At 49.7% G+C, this 19,780-nt stretch overlaps 1 protein-coding gene across 3 annotated transcripts in view; it reads right to left on the reverse strand.

Annotated features, from left to right (window-relative positions):
* CACNG2 (calcium voltage-gated channel auxiliary subunit gamma 2) overlaps positions 1–19,780 on the reverse strand; it is a 142,896-nt gene that overhangs the window by 20,691 nt on the left and 102,425 nt on the right. For all 3 annotated transcript variants that reach the window (NR_166440.1, NM_001379051.1, NM_006078.5), the window contains one exon: positions 5,918–6,001. Coding sequence is in view for 2 of the 3 variants with exons in the window: in NM_001379051.1 (NP_001365980.1) it covers positions 5,918–6,001 (84 nt within the window). In the remaining variant the exon portion in view is untranslated. The remainder of the gene's footprint in view (positions 1–5,917; positions 6,002–19,780) is intronic.

The following is a 19,780-nucleotide window of genomic DNA, read 5'->3' on the forward strand; positions in this document are numbered from 1 at the left end:
CCCTCTCTGCTCTACATCCCCAGTCCAGCTGGTGTAGCAAGGATGGTGGGAGTTACCCCAGACACCTCATTGGCCACTCCTGCTCAGCCCCCTTTCCTGGAGTGTCCTCATCTCACTGGCCCCTAAGCCTTCGTGGTGTCCTGGAGCTTAGTGTCTGGGCTTCTCCCCTTCTCTCTCTGTGCCACTCCCTCGGTGAGTTCATTGAGTTTCATGGCTTTAAATATCACCTACGTGCCAACAACGTGAAAACTCACTATCTCTGGCCAGGACCTCTCCTGTGAACCCTGGCCTCAGGTCCATACCGAGCCCGTGACATTGTCCCAGGAAGTCCCACAGGCATCTCTAACTGAATATGTCTGATATTGAGCCCCAGTCTCAACCTGTTGTTCCCCCATGGGCACGGCCCCTTGGCACCATCCTTGCCTCCTTCCTTTGTCTCGAAATCCACATTCAGCCTTTCAGAAAATCCTGTGTGCGGTGCCCTGGAAATATTTTCAACATTGATCCTATTTCACCCCCTTCACTGCTACCACTCTGGTTCAAGCTGTCATCACCTCCTGCCTAAATTATAGCAACAGAGTTTTAACTCTTCTGTCGGCTTCTGCCCTGGTCCGATTTCAGTCCCTTATGAACACAACAGCCAGAGCCTGTTCAAAAGTGAGATGGTGTCTGTCAATCAGAGCAAACCCCCAAATTCTCGCTGCAACCCACAGGGTCCTTGAGGCTCTCCACACTTGCTCTTCCTTTGCTCTTCCTTGCTCACTCTCTTCTTGTCTCACGGGGCTCAGTCCTATTCCTCAGATATTCCAGGCATGCTCCCAACCCAGGACCTTTGCACTTGCTGTTTGCTCTTTCTTTCTTTCTTTTTTTTTTTTGAGACAGAGTTTTGCTCTTGTTGTCCAGGCTGGAGTGCAATGGCATGGTCTCAGCTCACTGCAACCTCCACCTCCTGGGTTCAAATGATTTTCCTGCCTCAGCCTCCTGAGTAGCTGGGAATACAGGCATGCACCACCACGCCTGGCTAAATTTTTTGGTATTTTTAGTAGAGACGGGGTTTCTCCATGTTGGTCAGGCTGGTCTCGAACTCCCAACCTCAGGTGATCTGCCCACCTTGGCCTCCCAAAGTGCTGAGATTACAGGCACCCGCCACCACGCCTGGCCACTGTTCATTCTTGATCCCATCCCTACTCTAGAATTCCCCATCCCCCGTCCCTGCTTGACTTTTTTCCCCATAGGGCTTATCTTAGTCTAACATGTTATATCATTCACCTGTTAGTTTCATTTTTTGCAGACTGCAAGTACCCTGAGGGCCATAACCTCAGTACCTCAAAGAGGGCCTGGCATACAGGGGGGCCCACTCCAGAAAGATCTGTGGAGTGTGTGAATTGCTCACACTTACAAGTGAAGGAAGACGCTACATCTGTTTCATGGACCTTGTGACTTCATAGGAAATTTAAGGGGCCCAAGCGTTGTGCGTTCCTGGTGGGGCTCAGGTTGGTCCAGTTCCTCATGCTGCAGAGGTCTTGGGTTTAGGAATACTCCGGAAGGCATGGATTGTGCCCCATCCAGCTCACACCTCTGCTTTTCCAGGAAGAATTAATTTAGGGCTGGACATGGTGGCTCACACCTATTCGCAGCACTTTGGGAGGCTGAGGTGGGCAGATCACCTGAGGTCAGGAATTCGAGACCAACCTGGTCAACATGGCAAAATCCCGTCTCTACTAAAAATACAAAAATTAGCCAGATGTGGTGGCGGGTGCCTGTAATCCCAGCTACTCAGGAGGCTGAGGCAGGAGAATTGCTTGAACCCAGGAGGCAGAGGTTGCAGTGAGCCAAGATTGTACCACTGCACTCCAGCCTGGGTGACAGAGCAAGATTCCGTCTCAAAAAAAAAAGAAAAAAAAAAAAGAATTAATTGAGGAGCTATTTGGGAACCTGGAAAACAAGCCCCAAGTCCCTTAGGAGATGCTCTACATGGGTTGGAATCTGCTTTTTGGGGAGAAAGAAGAGTTGCTTGACTGCTCCTTCCCTCTCCTTTCACTTCCGTCCCTATCCTGAAATCTGTTCCCTGCCCCATGGCCCATGCCCCATCAGTGGCCACCCCTGCTGCTGTCAGCTCTGTCTCCCAAACATCTCCTTCCTTCTCACCATCACCATGGCTACACTCTGGTTGCCCCCTCTCCCCCATCCTGGGCTCCCTGCCTCTGTTTCCAACCGTCACTACCACAGCAGCCAGGCTGATGTGTCTAAATCGGTCATTCCCATCACACTTAGAATGAGAGCTGAGGTCTCCCCCTGGTCCCAGGCCCACATGACTGGGTTCCTCTGCTGTCTCTGCTGTAGGACCCCACTCCACCCCTGCACTGGGCTCCTGCAAGACCAGCTACCCCTCTGATCCTCAAACATGATGCTCTGTGCCTGCTTTAAGGACTTTGCTCTTGCTATTCTCTCCATCAGCTACTCTCTTCCCCAGAAATCTTCTTACCTGGTTCCCTTTCTTTACTCAGGGAAACTTTGGGACCACCTTATCTAAGTGACATGCCCTCAGGACCCACTGGCCCCTCCCCCATCACTCTCCACTCTCCAACCCCTCCCAGACCACTCAGAAACTATCTCAGCTGGGGCCGGGCGTGGTGGCTCACGCCTGTAATCCCAGCACTTTGGCAGGCTGAGGCAGGCGGATCACCTGAGGCCAGGAATTTAAGACCAGCCAGGCTAACATGGTGAAACCCCATCTTTACTAAAAATACAAAAAAATTAGCCAGGCATGGTGGCGCATGCATGTAATCCCAGCTACTCGGGAGGCTGAGGCAGGAGAATCGCTTGAACCCGGGAAGCAGAGGTTTGGCATTACTTGCACTCCAGCCTGGATGAAAGAGCAAGATACAGCAACAACAACAACAACAAAACTATCTCAGGGTGCAGAGGGCAGGGACAGGGTGTTTCACACTTGTTTATTACTTGTTTCTTACACTAGGATGTAACCTTCACGAAGGCACTGGCCCTCTTTATTTGGTTCACTCTTGGATCCCCAGGACTGACAATAGTGCTGGCACTCAGTGAGTGCTTAGTAAATATCTCTCGAGTGAATGAATGAATGAATTGGCTCTGGTGCCACCTTCTCTAGGGAACTCTTATGGAAGGACCTCCTCTGGTCTGGGTTAGGGGACAGGTTCCCTCAGCACCACACGATTCCTTCTATTCCAGCATGCAGCATAAACATTAGGTCTGTAGGTCTCCCTCCAGATGGCTAGCCCTCAGGGAGAGGAGCTGCTTCTGCCCCCTCACAGCCTCCCCTGCGGCAGATGAGCGGTGCAGATGGGTTTGACAGACCTTAACTAGGAGTGGACTCAGGCCCTCTCCACCCCAGGTGCAGCTCAGCCCGCCTCCTTCAGCCTAAGCTCTGCCCACCTCTGGGAGCCACCTGCCTACTTCTGGCGAATGGGGGCCCAGCTGTTTTCCTCTGGAAGCCTGTTGCTTGCATTGATCTCGGGGCATTAGACCATGATTTACTTGAGTGTTCACATATTCACCCACCCAGTCACTTCATTGCTCAGTCATCAAAGTGCTTTTTTGGGTCAAATTCCCTGCCATGGCCTTTTCTGGGTGCTTGGGGTGCAGAAATGAATGGGACATAGCTCTGCCTTCAAGAAGCTCATAGTCTCTTGGGGATCCCGAGTGTGAACCAGTGACATTGCAGCAAAGTGTGGTCGGGGTTGAATTGTAGACACATGCAGGGTGCCAGGGAGGCCCCAGAGGAGCTTCTGAATCAGAAGCGGGGGTAGGGACTGGGGGCAGGGGATCCTTCTAGAAAAATCATCCCCGTCTTCCAGCTTCTCTCAAGATCTAGGTTAGAACTTCGTAGAGAATGATAGAAACTTGCGTCTTCCAGCTTTAAAGAATTATTTTTGTTTTCCGGCCCAGGACTAGCATTTTATAGACCAGGGGTCAGCAAACTATACCAAATGAAGCCTGCTGCCTGGTTGTGTAAATCAAGTTAAGTTTCACTGTAACACAGCCACACATATGCCTCCATATTGTCAGTGGCCACAAGAGCAGAGTTGGGTAAATGGGACAGAGATTGCATGGCCCACAAAGCCTAAAATATTCAACATCTGATTCTTTACAGAAAAAGTTTGCCGACCCCTGCTACAGGTGTTCAAAAAATATTGTTGGATTAAGTCAACTCAAATCAGACCTTCAGAATCCTGTCGTTGCCAATCTGAGTCCAAGTCTTTTGTCCAGGGACACCAAAATGAACCAAATACTCTATGCTCTATGCTCTTCTTTCTTAAAAACAAGGAAATGGAGGCATTGAGTTGTTAGGAATTGCTACTGAAGAATCCTCTATCTCTTCTTAACAAAAAGCATTCATTGAGCTGTTATAAGGGCAGCAATGAATGAGACAAGTTTTCTGCCCCCAGGCACTTACTGCCTAGCAGATAAAGCATGACATCATTCGAGCTCCACCTGGTGAGCCTTGTGCTCCGGGAATGTGGCTCCCAGTGTGGGGCTTGGCTTTGCCTGCTGGCTTCCCCCTTCTACATTCAGGCCTCACCTCTGCCATGCTGTGTCTCCCAAGTTGAGCTGTTTTTCCAAGGGCCCTCCCTGCCAGGCTGTGCTCTTCTTGGGGGCAGGCCCCATCCATCTTGGCCTCCCCAGCACGGAGCACAGGATCCAGCACACAGAAGGAGCTCAACCCACGTTTACCGCACAGCTGGGCTCCTGCAGCCCCACCCCAGACACAGTCGCAGGTAACAGGTAACCACAACCAAATGGCCTTTTAGGAATTCCAGTTAAGAGCAACGTCTTGAAGGAATTCATAAAAGGAAATGAAGAGCAGGGTATGATATTTTTTCCTTTAAAAAAAAGAATCTAAAAATTGCATCGTGTTCCCTCCCTCTTTCTTCCCAGCTGCCTGGCTGACTTTACATTCCACGGGCTTTTCAATGAAACCAGATTCCAGGCTGACCTGAGAGCTGGGCTTGATGTGAGAAGTAATTATTGAAAGAGACAGGGGCAATCTATATAATAAAATGCCTCCTACATGCTTCATAAAAGTGATCTGAGGGCAATGGCAGTCCTTGTGCTGTTGGGAAGGGGAGGTGGCAGGGCCTGGAGCAGAGGCGGGGTTGCTCCTGGGAGGAGAGCAAACCTCCTTCCAAAGAGATGGCCTGAGAACCTCGGCTTTGCTGTCCCAGGCCTCAAGGACTCTCAGCCCCTCTCTTGGAAATCCCTTTCTCAGGGAATAGGTAGCCTTGTTAGTTTTTGCTGATACTTGAGACATTTCCTTGGAGCCTCAGAATGCTTTCTCTTGATAATATGTCTCAGGTGGATTTAAGATTGCAGCTGTTACATCAGGATTTAACTTTGACTTACTTGACTTGCGGGGGAAGAAAAAATCTCTCTCTTTTTTTTTTTTTCATTAGAAGTTCCAATCTGGCACTGCCTGGTGGGTTACTTCATCCAATTATTCAAGAAATATTCACTGAGTGCTTATCACATGCCAAGCACTGGGCTGAGAATATAATGGTGAATGCTAGGGTGAGTCCATACCCTAGCAGAGTTGGGAGATGGTTACTCAAATAGCCAAGGACCCTACAGCATGATAAAGTACCGTCCTCTAGGAACTCATGCAGAAGGCAGGAAGGACTTCCTGGAGAAGGTGATGTTTTAGCTGAGACCTGGAGGTCGACTGAGTAGGAGTTTGCCAGACAAAGACGGGCAGGGAAGGGCATTGCAGGCAGAGGGAACAGCACATATGAAGGTCTGTACTCCGGAAAGGAGAGAGGCTTAGCTTTTTCCTGCCCTCTGCTGTGATGAGGGCCTCTAGGTAGGCCTGGTCCTTGACTCTGTGAAGGATGGAAGGGCAGGGCCCACCACCAGGAGGGAGATAAAAACAATCGTGTGCACTCACGGAGGAAATATTCTGCTGTGTCAGCTTCGTAATCTGCATCCTCTGGGAAGTGATCAATTTGCTTGCACAGACCTTTGAAATTCCCTGCAAAACAAGGGGAGAAGGAGCACATGAAACATCATAGTTTTGGGGGCGCTTAGGGCCCACCTGCCTCTTCCCAACTTCTGGCTCTTTGGAAACTCACTCAGCCCTCTCCCTCACCCCTGAAGGAAGGTTTCGCTTTGTCCGTTTGGACATCTGCCTGGTGAATCACAACACACACACCCGCAGTACTGCAGAGAGGATCTAAAGCCGACGACTTCAAAACGCTGCCTTCTGTCCCTGCACTGAAGCTTCTGAGGATTAGCGGAGGCTTGGCAGCAGTGGAGGTTTGATTCCGAGCTGGGGACTGCCACGCAGGAGGCCGATGAATGCTCCTCAGCCCGTCTCTGTGCCCCAGCATAGCTGGGAGTCATCCTGCATTTTACATGTGAGAAAGTAGCAGATCACTTTCTAAAGGGGACACACCCCGCACTGGTGCTGCCAGATGCTGCCACAGCCCTTTAGAAGAGCCTGCAAAACACTTTCCCATCTGCAATTCCGCACGGAATTCACCAAACCCAGCCGCCAACTGCTCTGAAATAAATATGGGGGTGGGGAGGAAGTTGAGCCCCCTGGGGGCTGGACTTTTGGGTTTTGAACTACAGCTCATTTTGGTTCCACCACAGGCCTGTGAGGGGGGTATTATCATCCTCATTGTATAGATGAGGAAACTGAGGCTCAGAAAGGCTGAACTATCTGAGCAAGTGCTTGTGGCTAGGAAATGACGGAATCAGGGCTGAAACTAGGATCTTTTGACTCTAAATGTTTCCTCGGTGCCTGCTGGGAAGGTGAGAACTGGCCTGGGGCAAATCCCAGCACAGTGTCACAGGCAGGTCCTCCCCAGTGTTCACTGATGAGCACGTGAACTCTTGAATGTGGCCTTTCTAAAAACCGATAAGTAGCACAGACTCTACAATCACCAGAGCATCGGCTTCCTGACAGCAGAGACTTTGTTTCATTCACTGTCTTATCTCCAGCACCAGCATAGGCACAGTGAATGTCCTTTAACCTTCTCTGAATGGAAGAAAGATTGGGTGTATGCTGGGGCGTATGCACAGTGGGTAAGATGCAGGTTGCACAGCCAGACTGCCTGGGTCCAGCTGTGCATCACTCAGTGTCCTCACCTGAGAGTGGCGATAACAAGAATTCTTCCCTGGCAGATTGTCGTGGAGGTTCACTGAGCTGATGCATGTTGAGTAGTCAGAACAGTGCCTGACACATTTAGGAAGTCCTTGGGGGCATTGACGTGAGACAGAAATGAAATTTGACTGTGTCCAGCCACCAACATAGTAGCTACTGTGACCTAATTAATACAGCCCTCAATACATGTTGGCAATGATTTTCTTCTACAGTCCTGAGACTATGTCTTATAAAATAGGGGCAGATTCTAGTATGTGTCATAGATATTAATTAGGAATTTTACGGTATTATTACATATACCTTTTTTTTTTTTTTTTCCCCCTGAAATGGAGTCTCACTCTGTCACCCAGGCTTGAGTGCAGTGGTGTGATCTCGGCTCACGGCAACCTCCAACTCCCAAGTTCAAGTGATTCTCCTGCGTCAGCCTCCTGAGTAGCTGGGATTACAGGCACATACCAACATGCCCAGCTAATTTTTGTATTTTAGTAGAGATGGGGTTTCACCATGTTGGCCAGGCTGGTCCCCCACTCCTGACTTCAAGTGATCTGCCTGCCTTGGCCTCCCAAAGTGCTGGGATTACAGGCATAATCCACTGTGCCCAGCCTAGACATATATATATATATGTGTGTGTGTGTATAAAATAGACCTATATATTAGGTTGGTGCAAAAGCAACTGTGGTTTTTGCCATCAAAAGTAATAGTGAAACCGTAATTACTTTTGCATCAACCTAATAGTACACAGGTATATAGTATACAGGGATACTTACGTACTACGTAGGAATATAAGCATTTTAGGAACTTCTGGCTATGATTATATGCTGCATATAATGGAAAAGAGGAATCTCTGTAACTCCCTTTCACACATGAGCTATCCCTGTACCAAATTCACTAACTTTCTTGAGTTCTACAAGAAAAACAATTCCCCAGACCATATCGGGACTTCTGGTCGCTTCACTGAAGCTTGGTAGGGCCACTCAAAATGGTCCCATGGACAGGTGTCTTCTCTGAGTGTTTTGGGTTCCCTGCTTTTTGCTGTCCCCACCCCCATCGTGTCATGGCCCCTCTGCCCTCCTGCATCTTGGGGTGTTAAAAGGAAGCCTTGTCCCCTCCCTAGTACCTTGTTTTCCTAATCCAACCATGCACCCTTCTCTGTGGGAAAAGTCTTCATACCAGCTGCTAAGAGGATAACAAATTCTCCCTATTGTTAAAATTACAAATCAGTGTATTTGAAAAGCACTTCGCAAAGCACTCTCATTTTCTTTCAATTCAATCTGACAAATATTTCAGCAAGCCGGTGCCAGGCATCTTTATAAAGAATCTGTGCAGGAGTGAGGCTCAGAGAGCAGTACTGACATGCCCTGAGGCGTCCCACAAATTGAGGACAGAGCTTCACCCAGCAGGGCCCCAGCTGCATCCTGGTGGGCCACACCCGCTCCTGTTCCCCGCAGGAACAGGAGCTCACATTCTACGGGGAGCCTAGTTGCTCCTTGTGTGCAAGCCTGGGCTTCACTCATCCTTGGACCATTGGCTCCTAGCGCAGTGCCTGGCACAGAAGCAGGGTTCAGGAGATGCTAACAGAGAGGCCGTGCGAGATAATCAGTGGCCCAGACCTCTCCTTGAGGCCTGGACCTGGGTATCCAGCTGCCTATTTGACATCTCCTGGTGGATGTTTTAAAGGCACTGAACATGAACTCCTGATCTTTCCCTCTAGCCTGGCACTCTGGAGGCCCCAGTTAGCTTGGCGAATGCTTCTCCAGGGTTCCCTTGTGTAAGCCTGAGCCTAGTTGTCAGCGCTGACATCTATCTCTTCCTCCTCCCTGCAGGCTCCATCCATCAGGGCGTCCTGTCTGTATTAGATCCTTAGTGTCTCAAACTTGCCTGATGTCTCTGAGACAGCACCGCCCACTACCAGGCCACCATCCCTGCTCCCTGGATGGCTGCCGCGGCCTCCCCACTCATCAGTTTGCACCCACTCTTATCCTTCTCTACAGAGCTATGACAGTGATCCTTTGTACATGCAAATCTGATCATGCCACCTCCAGCTCGGAAACACTCCAGCTTCCCAGTGCTGTCGGGGAAAAGCTCAACATCTCTAACAAAGCCTGACCCCCAACCTCCACATCTGGCCTCACCTCCCACCCACCTCCTCCCTCCCTGTGCATCTCTGCCTTCTTTCCTGCCATGCTCCCTCCTACCTCAGGACCGTGGCACATGCATGCTGGTCCTGCTGCCTGAACTCCCACCACGTCCTCTGTTGCCTCTTTCTCCTAACCTCCTTCTGCCTCCCTGCACTGTGCTACTGGGGTGTCCTCCACTAGCTGGCTAGTGCTGGCTGCTCTATGTTGGGGGGAGATATATTTTTTTTTTTTGAGACGGTGTCTTGCTCTGTCACCCAGGCTGGAGTGCAGTGGCACAATCTCGGCTCACTGCAAGCTCCGCCTCCCGGGTTCACGCCATTCTCCTGCCTCAGCCTCCAGAGTAGCTGGAACTACAGGCGCCCGCCACTACGCCCGGCTAATTTTTTTTTTTGTATTATTTGTAGAGACGGGGTTTCACTGTGGTCTCGATCTCCTGACCTCGTGATCCGCCTGCTTCGGCCTCCCAAAGTGCTGGGATTACAGGCGTGAGCCACCGCGCCCGGCCTAAGGGGGGAGATATTAAAGCCTGTATGATACTAGTGGGAATGTTCTAGTAGAGAGGGAAGAAGGGAGGGGCTGGGGGCAGTGGCTCAGCCTTAGCTTTAGGAAGCTGAGGCAGGAGGATCCCTTGAACCCAGCAGTTCAAGACCAGCCTGGGCAACATAGCAAGACCCTATATCTACAAAAAATAAAAACAAATTAGCCAGATGTGGTGGTATGTGTCTGTGGTCCTAGCTTACTTGGGAGTCTGAGGCAGGAGGATCCCTTGAACCCAGGTGTTCGAGGCTGCAGTGAGCTAGGATAGCACCACTGCACTCCAGTCTGGTGACAGAGCAAGACTCTGTCTTGAAAATAAAATCAAAATAAAAAAGTAAAAGAAAGGAGGACAGAAGGGATGACCTGCAGAGATGGGGGAGCAATACAGGTGCACTGTGCAAGGAGATGAGGCCCAGGACACAGCACAAGGGGGGTGGTGCTGTGCCAGGAGGGACAGCAGAGCTCGTGGGTGCAGTGCTGGGGATGGGCAGACATGGTGGGAGGGTGTAACACTTCTCTTCTGTTGCTTCTATTTTCCCAACGAAATGGGAAGCAGGATCATCAACTGAGAGTGAGGAAGGGTTGGGGACGGGAGGACAGGGGAAGGGAAGCGAGAGTGGGAGACAGTGGACCAGGCTGTGAAGTGTGTGTGTCAGTGGCTTGAAGGTCACTTCTGAGATTCTGTGGTTTTCTCTGGCCACATTTGTGGCATGGGTGCAGTTAGCTGGAGAGTTGCGTCTAACCAGGAGGAGGTTTGTGAGGTGAGTGCAACAGGGAGAGGGTGGAATGGGAGGGATTATGAGGATGGATATGGAGTCTAAGCTGGGTAAACAGGGAAATGAGGTCCTGAAGGGCAAGTGAGGCAGTGCAAAGGCGGGGGTGGGGGGTGGAGCGGGGAGGGCAGTCAATGCTTTTGAGCCTGGGGTTGGGGTGGGGTCAAAGCATTGTTGAAATGGGGGTGCATGGGAGTGAGCTGCAACGGTGGCACGTGGTAGCCAGAGAGTGGGATGCAAAAGACAGAGAGTGGAGGGGGTGTGGATATTGGAAATGCCAAGGGCAAGGGTAAGACCCCGAATGAGGTGGCTTGGGGCAGGCAGAGGTAGGGATGATCTTCAAGTATGCACTGGAAAGGTCACACAAATTAATAGATAAGGCAAAACTACAACATTCGCTGTTGTTTTCTATATACATCGAGTATATATTAAGAAACTGCCTACCCGGTTAAAATTTGAAGTGCAAATGATTCATCAAATTATTCTAATAAGCCCCAAATCACCGATTGGTTTTTAGAAATGAGTGGTGTGATCTTTTGATGATGAGGCTGTTATGAGCTAAATGATGGCTTGACTGGACCATGCTTTGACACAGGAAACCACACCAGATGCTCCCCAAGCTTCCCTGTTAGAGTAAGGGTCATTCCACCTCGGCGAGTGCAGAATCTTCTCCTAAGTTGTCCTCTACGGTTCGACTAGAGGACCTCTCTGTGCCCAGCAGCCCCAGGAGGTCAGGGCCGGGAATGGGAAGGTAGTGGGAGGCTGTGAGAGGGGTAGAGGCTCTCATCGGCAGGGCAGTGGTGTGCGCCCAGCCCAGCCCAGTCCCACCAGTCAGGACCAGTAGGGAGACTCTTCTTCTCTTGCCCCCATCCTTGGGGCGGGCCTTGGAGTTTATAGAACCTGAGAACAGAGCTGAGTCCTTAACCCAGCCTTGGGGAGCGAGGAGAGGAGATGGAGCCTTGGTCCCAGCCCTTCTCTTCTCTCTGCCCCGCCCAATGCAGGAGCCACCCCTTCCCCCAGCCAGCTTCCCTGACATAGTAAGACTGATCGGTACAACAGTATTTCAATATTTAACAACCAGTGAGGCAGCACCGGCACATCAGGTTGGAGTGAAGGGGTCACGGCCAGGGACTGGAGGGGCTGATTTCCTGGTTGTGGAATCTGCAAGGATGATAACGGGAGCAGCATTGGAGGCAAAGGCAGTGAGCCAGCGCTCAGCTCCCCAAAGACTGAATGGCGGCGGCCATGAGGGAGTCGGACAGGTAGGCTGGGATGTGTTTCACAGAGGCAGGGAGTTTAGGGAGGAGGCAGGGAAATGGACCGGAAATGTCGATGAGGCCCAGGGAGGCCTGGGATGTGAGCAGTAAAACACTCTCGACAGTGAGAGTTTGCAGGGGCGGTGGTGTCCTTCGGGGAAAGCCAGATTTCCATTAGAGCAAGGACAGAATGGGGGGATTCTGCTGGCACTGTGACCTAAATTCTAGAAGGTGCCATGGCAAGGATTTAGGAGGGCGGGGGAGTTAGAGATCCAGCCAGATCAGAGGACACACAGCCCTGAGGGACAAGTGATGAGTAGGGAGGAGTGATGGGGTAAACTGGGATACAGGTCACTGTGCGATTGGTCCCAACGCCTCTGGTGGCCATGAGGCTGTGAGGGTCAGCTGGAGGAGCACAGGGTCTCCAGGAGCACTTGGAGCTCGGTGGGCCCTGGATTCAGTCTGATTAATGGTGGTGCTGGGGAGAGGTATAGGAGGGGAGGGGGCACTAGCAGCACTCAAGCATTAGTGGTGAAATTTGAACTTCATAGGACATCTACGTCAACAGACATCACTCCAGTAAGGGGAGAGTGGTGAGTGGTGATGAAATGAATGAGATTTCATTTCCCTAAGGCCAGCCTAGGGTTCCATTGTATTTCCTTCTGGTTGGTGGTAATCCACCCCAGGGGTTGTGATGGCTTCAGGCACAGATGGATCCAGGTGCTCCAAAATCTGGAACCTCTCTCCATCTCTGACTTTCCTCCCAACTAGCTTCATTCCTAGGCACCCTCTGTCCCTGTGGTAGAGACTAAGGGCCAAGTGCCTGGCACTGGGATGGTAGAGGAAAATCTAATCTCATCTCTGCCTTCCAGGCTCACATTCTAGGGGCAAAGACAGATAGTACAGAACTTACTAGAGTGCAATCCTTCACATACTATATTAGAAGGAGGTATGAGGCCTTATGGCAGCACAATTGTTCAGCTATCATTTATGTAGCACCAATTGTATGCCACGCTCCATGCAACCTGCTGAGAACAGAGGGGGAAAAATATACTTTCTGTCCTCAAGGAACTTGCAGTCTATGATGGCAGACAGAAAACACACGCTGTGGTGTAGAGGATGTGTGTGATGACAGAGGAGAGTGGAGCGTGTCTGGGGCACACAGATGGAAGGTGTGTCCAGGCGAGGGAGTGTGTGGGTGACAAAGGCCTCCTGAGGAGGAGCAGGTGCCTGAGCTGACACAAAGTGGAGAAGTCAGCCTGATGAAGCAGGGAGGGGTCCGTGTATGCCCGCGTGTGTGTCTGTGTGTGTGTCTGTGTGTGTGTGCATGTGTGTGTGTCTGTGTGTGCATGGGTGTGTGTGCGTATGTGTGTGCGTGCATGGGTGTGTGTGTCTGTGTGTGTGTCTTGTGTGCATGGATGTGTGTCTGTGTGTGTACATCGGTGTGTGTGTGTGCATGTGTGTGTGTGTGCATGGGTGTTTGTGTGTCTGTGCCTGTGTGTACATGGGTGTGTGTGTGCATGTGTGTGTCTGTGTGTGCATGTGTGTTTGTGTGTGTCTGTGTCTGTATGTGGGTAGTTTTGAATGCCTACTGTGTGCTCACTGGGCAGGGTGAGATGAAGTCTGCATATGTGTGTGTGTGCATGTATGTGTCTGTGTGTGCATGTGTCTTTGTGTGTGTCTCTGTGTGTACATGGGTATGTGAGTCTGTGTGCATGGGTGTGTGTGTGTCTATGTGTGTGCATGTGTCTGTGTGTGTAGGCGTGATGAGGAAGTGGTGGAGGGTTGAGAAGGGCTTTCTAGCAAGAGCAGTCAGGATAGTGCGGGACATAGGAGGGAACACACTGTCCCTGGGGGTGGGAGAAGGTTTCCCAGAGCAGAGTTGGGAGTAACAGGACTTGAGAGAGGGCCCGAAGCCAGCAGTGTGCGGGCCGGCTCGCCCCTGCTCAAGGGAGCTCATCACCAGTGTCTTCCCAGCTCTCGTTAGCAGTTTGAAATCAGCCGTGGTAGGTGTATTCACACCATGGGAACCCACGGCAAATGCTACAAACCAAGTTCCCCACCTCCAGCCCAGGGAGCTGATTGTTAAACATGTACCAGCACACCACTGGATGAAGGGTGATCCTATGTGAGGAGTCAGCTGGTACAAAGACGTGACAAATTGGTGGGATTGGAGATTTGCAAAAGGACTGGTCCCATCAGAGGGCTGGGTGGGTGAGGGTGAGGGTGAGGGTGGGTGATGGCTGGAGTGGAGTGCAGGGGTCTCACTGCCCGCTGTCCCCTCAGGCATTGGCTTTGAGCTTCCAGAGGAAAGGGGATGCAGGGAAGACTCTCCCACCATGAACTATAAAGGGTTATTCAGCTAAGGGGCTCAACAACCATGACTCTCCATGGAACCTCCATCCCAGAAGAGTGGCAGTGCCCCACCAACCGCCAGGCTGAGTGAGTTCAGGCCCCGCTGAGGCGGAAAGGCCAAGGGCTGTGCCGTGGGCTGGCACAGCTCTGGCTCAAGGAGTTTACCATGTCAGGCTGGGAATTGCAGCTTGCAGGTATTAAGTAGTTTAAGAGGAGGTTTCATCAGCTTTGTAAAAAGCACATTAATATCTCACACCAACTGCTGTCTTGTTTCTTTAGATACAATAAGCTCCTCATAAACCTGGTCATTAGGGGCTGAACAGACTCTGTTTTATTTTCCACATATTCATGAGAAGCTGAAAGAGCAGCTCTGGAGCCAGGAGGGGACACGGTGGAGCGAGCTGAGGCGTGGGGAGGAGGCTGTCTGAGTAATTTTTTAAGTGAAGCAAAGGAAGGGTTTAGTGGGAGCTGCTTTCTCTGTGTTTTCAACCTTTGCTGCTCCTGGCTTTTTGCTTTCCTGGCAATACCTCCCTGACGGCAGGGATTCGGGAGGCCTCAGGGAGGGTGGGCCATGCCTGGCTTGTTTCTGGCTGGAACCCCAGCCCCCTGGGGCACAGCGCAGCCACCAGCTTGGGTTGGATGGTTTGCAACAACAGAACGTGTGGCATCCTATGAGTTTGATCGTTCTCTCGTTCGTTCATTCATTCTTTCAGTGGGTAGTTTCTTTCTTTTTTTGTTTTTTGGGAAGGAGGGAGGGGAGGAAGAGCTAGGGGTCAAGAAGGGAGAGGGCAGTCTCAGTGGGTAGTTTCGAATGCCTACTGTGTGCTAGGCACTGGGCAGGGTGAGATGAAGTAAGTGGTCTGTCCTGCCTGCCTGCCATGAATTTGCTCCTTCCATTGGCTCTGAGCTCCCACTTCACTGAAGTCCCCAGCACTCAGGAGCTGACCACAATGAACAATTGCTCATCCAACTTTCAGTTGCATCCTGTCCTGGCTCTTGTCTCCATAGCTACCTCTTCAGTTCTTTTTTTTGAGACAGGGTCTCTCTCTGTTGCCCAGGCTGGAGTGCAGGGGTGTGATCATGGCTCGCTGCAGCCTTGACCTTCTGGGCTCAAGAGATCCTCCCACCTCAGCCTCCCGGGTAGCTGTGACTACAGGCATGTGCCCAGCTAATTTTTGAATTTTTTTTGTAGAGATGGGGTCTCGCCATGTTGCCTAGGCTGTTCTTGAACTCCTGGGCTCAAGCGATCCGCCCTCCTCAGCCACTCAGAGTTCCTTCTTTAGTTGTTGTTGTTTTGAGATAGAGTCTCTCTCTGTTGCTCAGGCAGGAGTGCAATGGCACGATCTCAGCTCACTGCAACCTCCGCCTCCCAGGTTCAAGCAATTCTCCTGCCTCAGCCTCCCAAGTAGCTGGGATTACAGGCATCAGCCATCACTCCTGGCGAATTTTTTGTATTTTTAGTAGAGGTGGGGTTTCGCCATGTTGGCCAGGCTGGTCTTGAGCTCATGACCTCAGGTAATCCACCCACCTCGGCCTCCCAAAGTGCTGGGATTACAGGCATGACCCACTGTGCCAGGCCCCTTTAGTTCTTCACATGTGATTTGGGGGAGGAGATTGGGCTCCAGAGTTAGAAAGATTTGGCTTCTAAGCCTGGCTCTGTTACCTAGTAGCTGTGTGAATTTGAGCAAGTTATGTGACCTCTCTGTGCCTCAGTTTCCTTTGCTGTAAGAAGGCAATATCAGTCCTCACCGAGGGGGTAAGGGGATTAACTTTGAAGACTCGATGAAATAACAGAAGTGAAGGGCCCCAGTGCAGTTCTTAACCCAGAACAGATACTCAACAATGTAGGTCCTCCTTCTTTTTCTTCTCTTTCAAATGGCACCTCTTTCAGGAGGCCTTTCTTGATTGCCCTTAGCTGGGAAGACTCTTTCCTCTCCTACGCTCCTATGCAGTGCTTTTCAGCATTTTAATGGGCATGGGAAGCCCCTGGGGATCACGTTAAGCCAGGTTCAGATTCGGTGACTCTCAGTGGCCTGAGACTCTGTATTTCTCATGAGCTTGCAGGAAGTGCCCACGCTGCCAGGCCCCAGTGGCGGGGGCCACACTTTGGGTTGGGTAGCGAGGCTGTCAAGCACCTTTTAGCTGCTTTGGTCATATTCTCTTTGTGTATTGTTGTTTGGGAACAAAGAGCTGCAAGTCTGTAAGCTCCTCAAGGGCAGAATTTCTTCTAGAGGATTCCCTGAATATACCATATTTTCCTTGATTCTAAGACGCTCACATGCAAATTTCAATGTTTCTGAAATTGAGATGTGTCTTATAATTCACGGGTTCACTTCACTGCAGTGTGTCTCTTTTCTCCTGAAACATCATTATCACATTGATGGTGAGCCTTTTAATTAATGGTAATGGCTGCCTGAAAAAAGTTTATTGAACAAATAAATAAATGAATGAGTTAGTGTGTGTGGGTGTCCAGCGACTGTACTACACATTTCCATTCACCTAAACAGTTGAGCATCATGCCAAATATTAGAATCCCTGGGGCACCAAGATCTTTTGCACTTCTCTTATGAAAAACCTACTTGACTATACCTGGCCAGGCATGGTGGTTCATGCCTATAATCCCAGCACGTTGGGAGGCCGAGGTGGGCAGATCACCTGAGGTCAGGAGTTCAAGACCAGCCTGGCCAACATGGTGAAACCCTGTCTCTACTAAAAATACAAAAATTAGCCGGGCTTGGTGGCGGGGGCCTGTAATCCCAGCTACTCGGGAGGCTGAGGCCTGAGAATCACTTGAACCCAGGAGGCAGAGGTTGCAGTGAGCCGAGATTGTGCCATTGTACTCCAGCCTTGGTGACAAGAGCAAGAATCCGTCTAAAAACAAAACAAAACAACTCCCCAAAAACAAAAATACAAACAAACGAACAAACAAAAGACACCTATTTGACTATATCTGGCCGAGCACGGTGGCTCACGCCTGTAATCCCAGCACTTTGGGAGGCCAAGGTGGGCAGGTCACTTGAGATCAGGAGTTCTAGACCAGCCTGGCCAACATGGTGAAACCCTGTCTGTACCCAAAATACAAAAATTAGCCAAGTGTGGTGGCACGCGCCTGTAGTCCCAGCTACTCGGGAGGCTGAGGTGGGAGATTGCTTGAACCTGGGAGGCGGAGGTTGCAGTGAGCCAAGATCATGTCACTGCACTCCAGCCTGGGTGACAGAGTGAGACCCTGCCCCCAATCCAAATCTATTTGAATATATCAAAACATACGTATAGCCTGCAACTCAGCAATTCTGCTTAGAAATGTGTGTTGAAGAAACACTTGCATACATGCACACGATGTATGAGAATGTTCATAACAGCACTGCTTATAACAACAACAAACTTGGAATAGCCCAGATTTCTATTATCGGAGAAATGATAGCATAGTATATTGATGTAATGTAGTGTACAGCAGTGAAAGTTAGTGAATTACAGCTACACAAGTCAACCCAGATGAATTCCACAAACATAACACTGGACAGAAAAAAATCAAGCTGCAGAAAAATGCATATGGTATGATTCCATTTTCATTAAGTTAAAAACATGTTATAGATTATTTAGAAATACATGTGTATGTGGCAAAACTGTAAAGTCAAGCAAGGGAATGATAAACATCAAGTTTAAGAGTGTTTGCAGCTGGGCGTGGTGGCTCACACCTGTAATCCCTGCACTTTGGGAGGTGGAGGTGGGAGGATCGCATGAGCCCAGGAGTTCCAACCCAGCCTGGGCAACATGGCGAAATCCTGTCTCTACAAAAAAATAAAAAATTAGCCAAGCATGGTGGTGCACACCTGTAGTCCCAGCTACTCGGGATGCTGAGGCAGGAGGACTGCTAGAGCCTGGGAGGTTGAGGCTGCAGTGAGCCATGATCATGCTACTGCACTCCAGTTTGTGTGACAGAGGAAGACCCTGTCTCAAAGAAAAAAAAAAGAATGTTTTCTTGAGATAGGGTAGGGCACACAACTGCTTCAATGTCCTAGGAATGCTCTATTTTTTAACTTCGTAATGAGTGCATAGGCACTCTTCATTTTATTGTTATTCTTTATTCCCTGCTGTGACAGAGGCTGTTTCCAAATATGTCTTGTTCTTTTCAAGTTTTGCCTGGACATATGGCTTCCCAGAACGTAGGCTTTAGTTCCCAGCCTCGCTTGCAGCTGGAGGTGGTCATGTGACAAAGTTCTGGCCAATGGGATGTGAGTGGAAATGATGGGAACAACTTGGGAGGAATGGCCTTTAGGGCATGGGATGTGCCCTTCTCAGTCCTTTCCTCTTGGCAAGTGGACTAAGGAGCTCCAGCCGCCATCTTGGTCAATGAGACAATCTTGAGAATGGAGAGCTGCATGATGGTAGAATAAGATAAAGGGTATCTGAGCCACACTCCCATGGAGTGTTATACCAGTCTTGGATAACTTATCTCCAGAGCTGTGCAACGAGAAAGAAATAAACTATCAACTATCTTTATTTTCTTACTTTTAATTTTTTTAGAGACAGGTTCTTGCTTTGTCACCCAGATTGGAGTGCAGTGGCATGATCATAGCTCACTGTGACCTCGAACTCTTGGGCTTAAATGATCCTCCTGCCTCAGTCTCCTGAGTAGCTGGGACTACAGGTGCATGCCACCACACCCGTCCTGTCTTTTTAATTTTAGGTAAATAAACCAAAAAAACAAAAAAAAAAATGCGGGAAACTTTATAGCCAAGCCTAATCCTAATGAACATAACCTGTACAAGTTAAAATAGTCTTTAAAAAAGCTTGATTTTTAAATTTGTTTTTTTTTTTTTGATACGGAGTCTTGCTCTGTTGCCAAGGCTGGAGTGCAGTGGTGTGATCTTGGCTCACTGCAAACTCTGCCTCCCGAGTTCAAGCGATTCTTGTGCCTCAGCCTCCTGAGTAGTTGGAATTACAGACACGCACCACCAAGCTTGGCTAACTTTTGTATTTTTGGTAGAGATGGAGTTTTACTATGTTGGCCAGGCTGGTCTGGAACTCCCAACCTCAGGTGATCTGCCCGCCCTGGCCTCCCTAAGTGCTGAGATTATAGGCATGAACCACCGCTCCCGGCCTAAAATTTTTTTTAAGTGCATTTTATTGTGTATACTTTAAGGTATCCAACATGATGTTGTATGATTACATATATACAGCAAAATGGTTGCTATAGTGGAAAAACTAACACATCCATCATCTCACATAGTACCCAGTTTTTCCCTGTGTGCCAGGAGCAGCTATAATCTCATTTAGCAAAAATCCTGAATACAATACAATATTATTAACAATAGTCCCCATGTTGTACATTAGAGCTCTGGACTTGTTCACCCTGTATATTTGCTACTTTGAATCCTTTGACCTATATCTCTCCATTTCTTCCCTCTCACCCCAGATCTTGGTAACCACTGTTTTATTCTCTATCTCTACATACTTGATATTTGACTTTTTTTTTTGGTAAAGATTCCACATATGAGTGGAGTCATAAAATAGTTTTCTTCCTGTGTCTGGCTTATTTCACTTAGCGTATTGTCCTCCAGTTTCATGCATGTTGTGGCAAAT

The sequence above is a fragment of the Homo sapiens genome, chromosome 22 (assembly GCF_000001405.40).
Source record: "Homo sapiens chromosome 22, GRCh38.p14 Primary Assembly".
Lineage (NCBI taxonomy): Eukaryota > Metazoa > Chordata > Mammalia > Primates > Hominidae > Homo > Homo sapiens.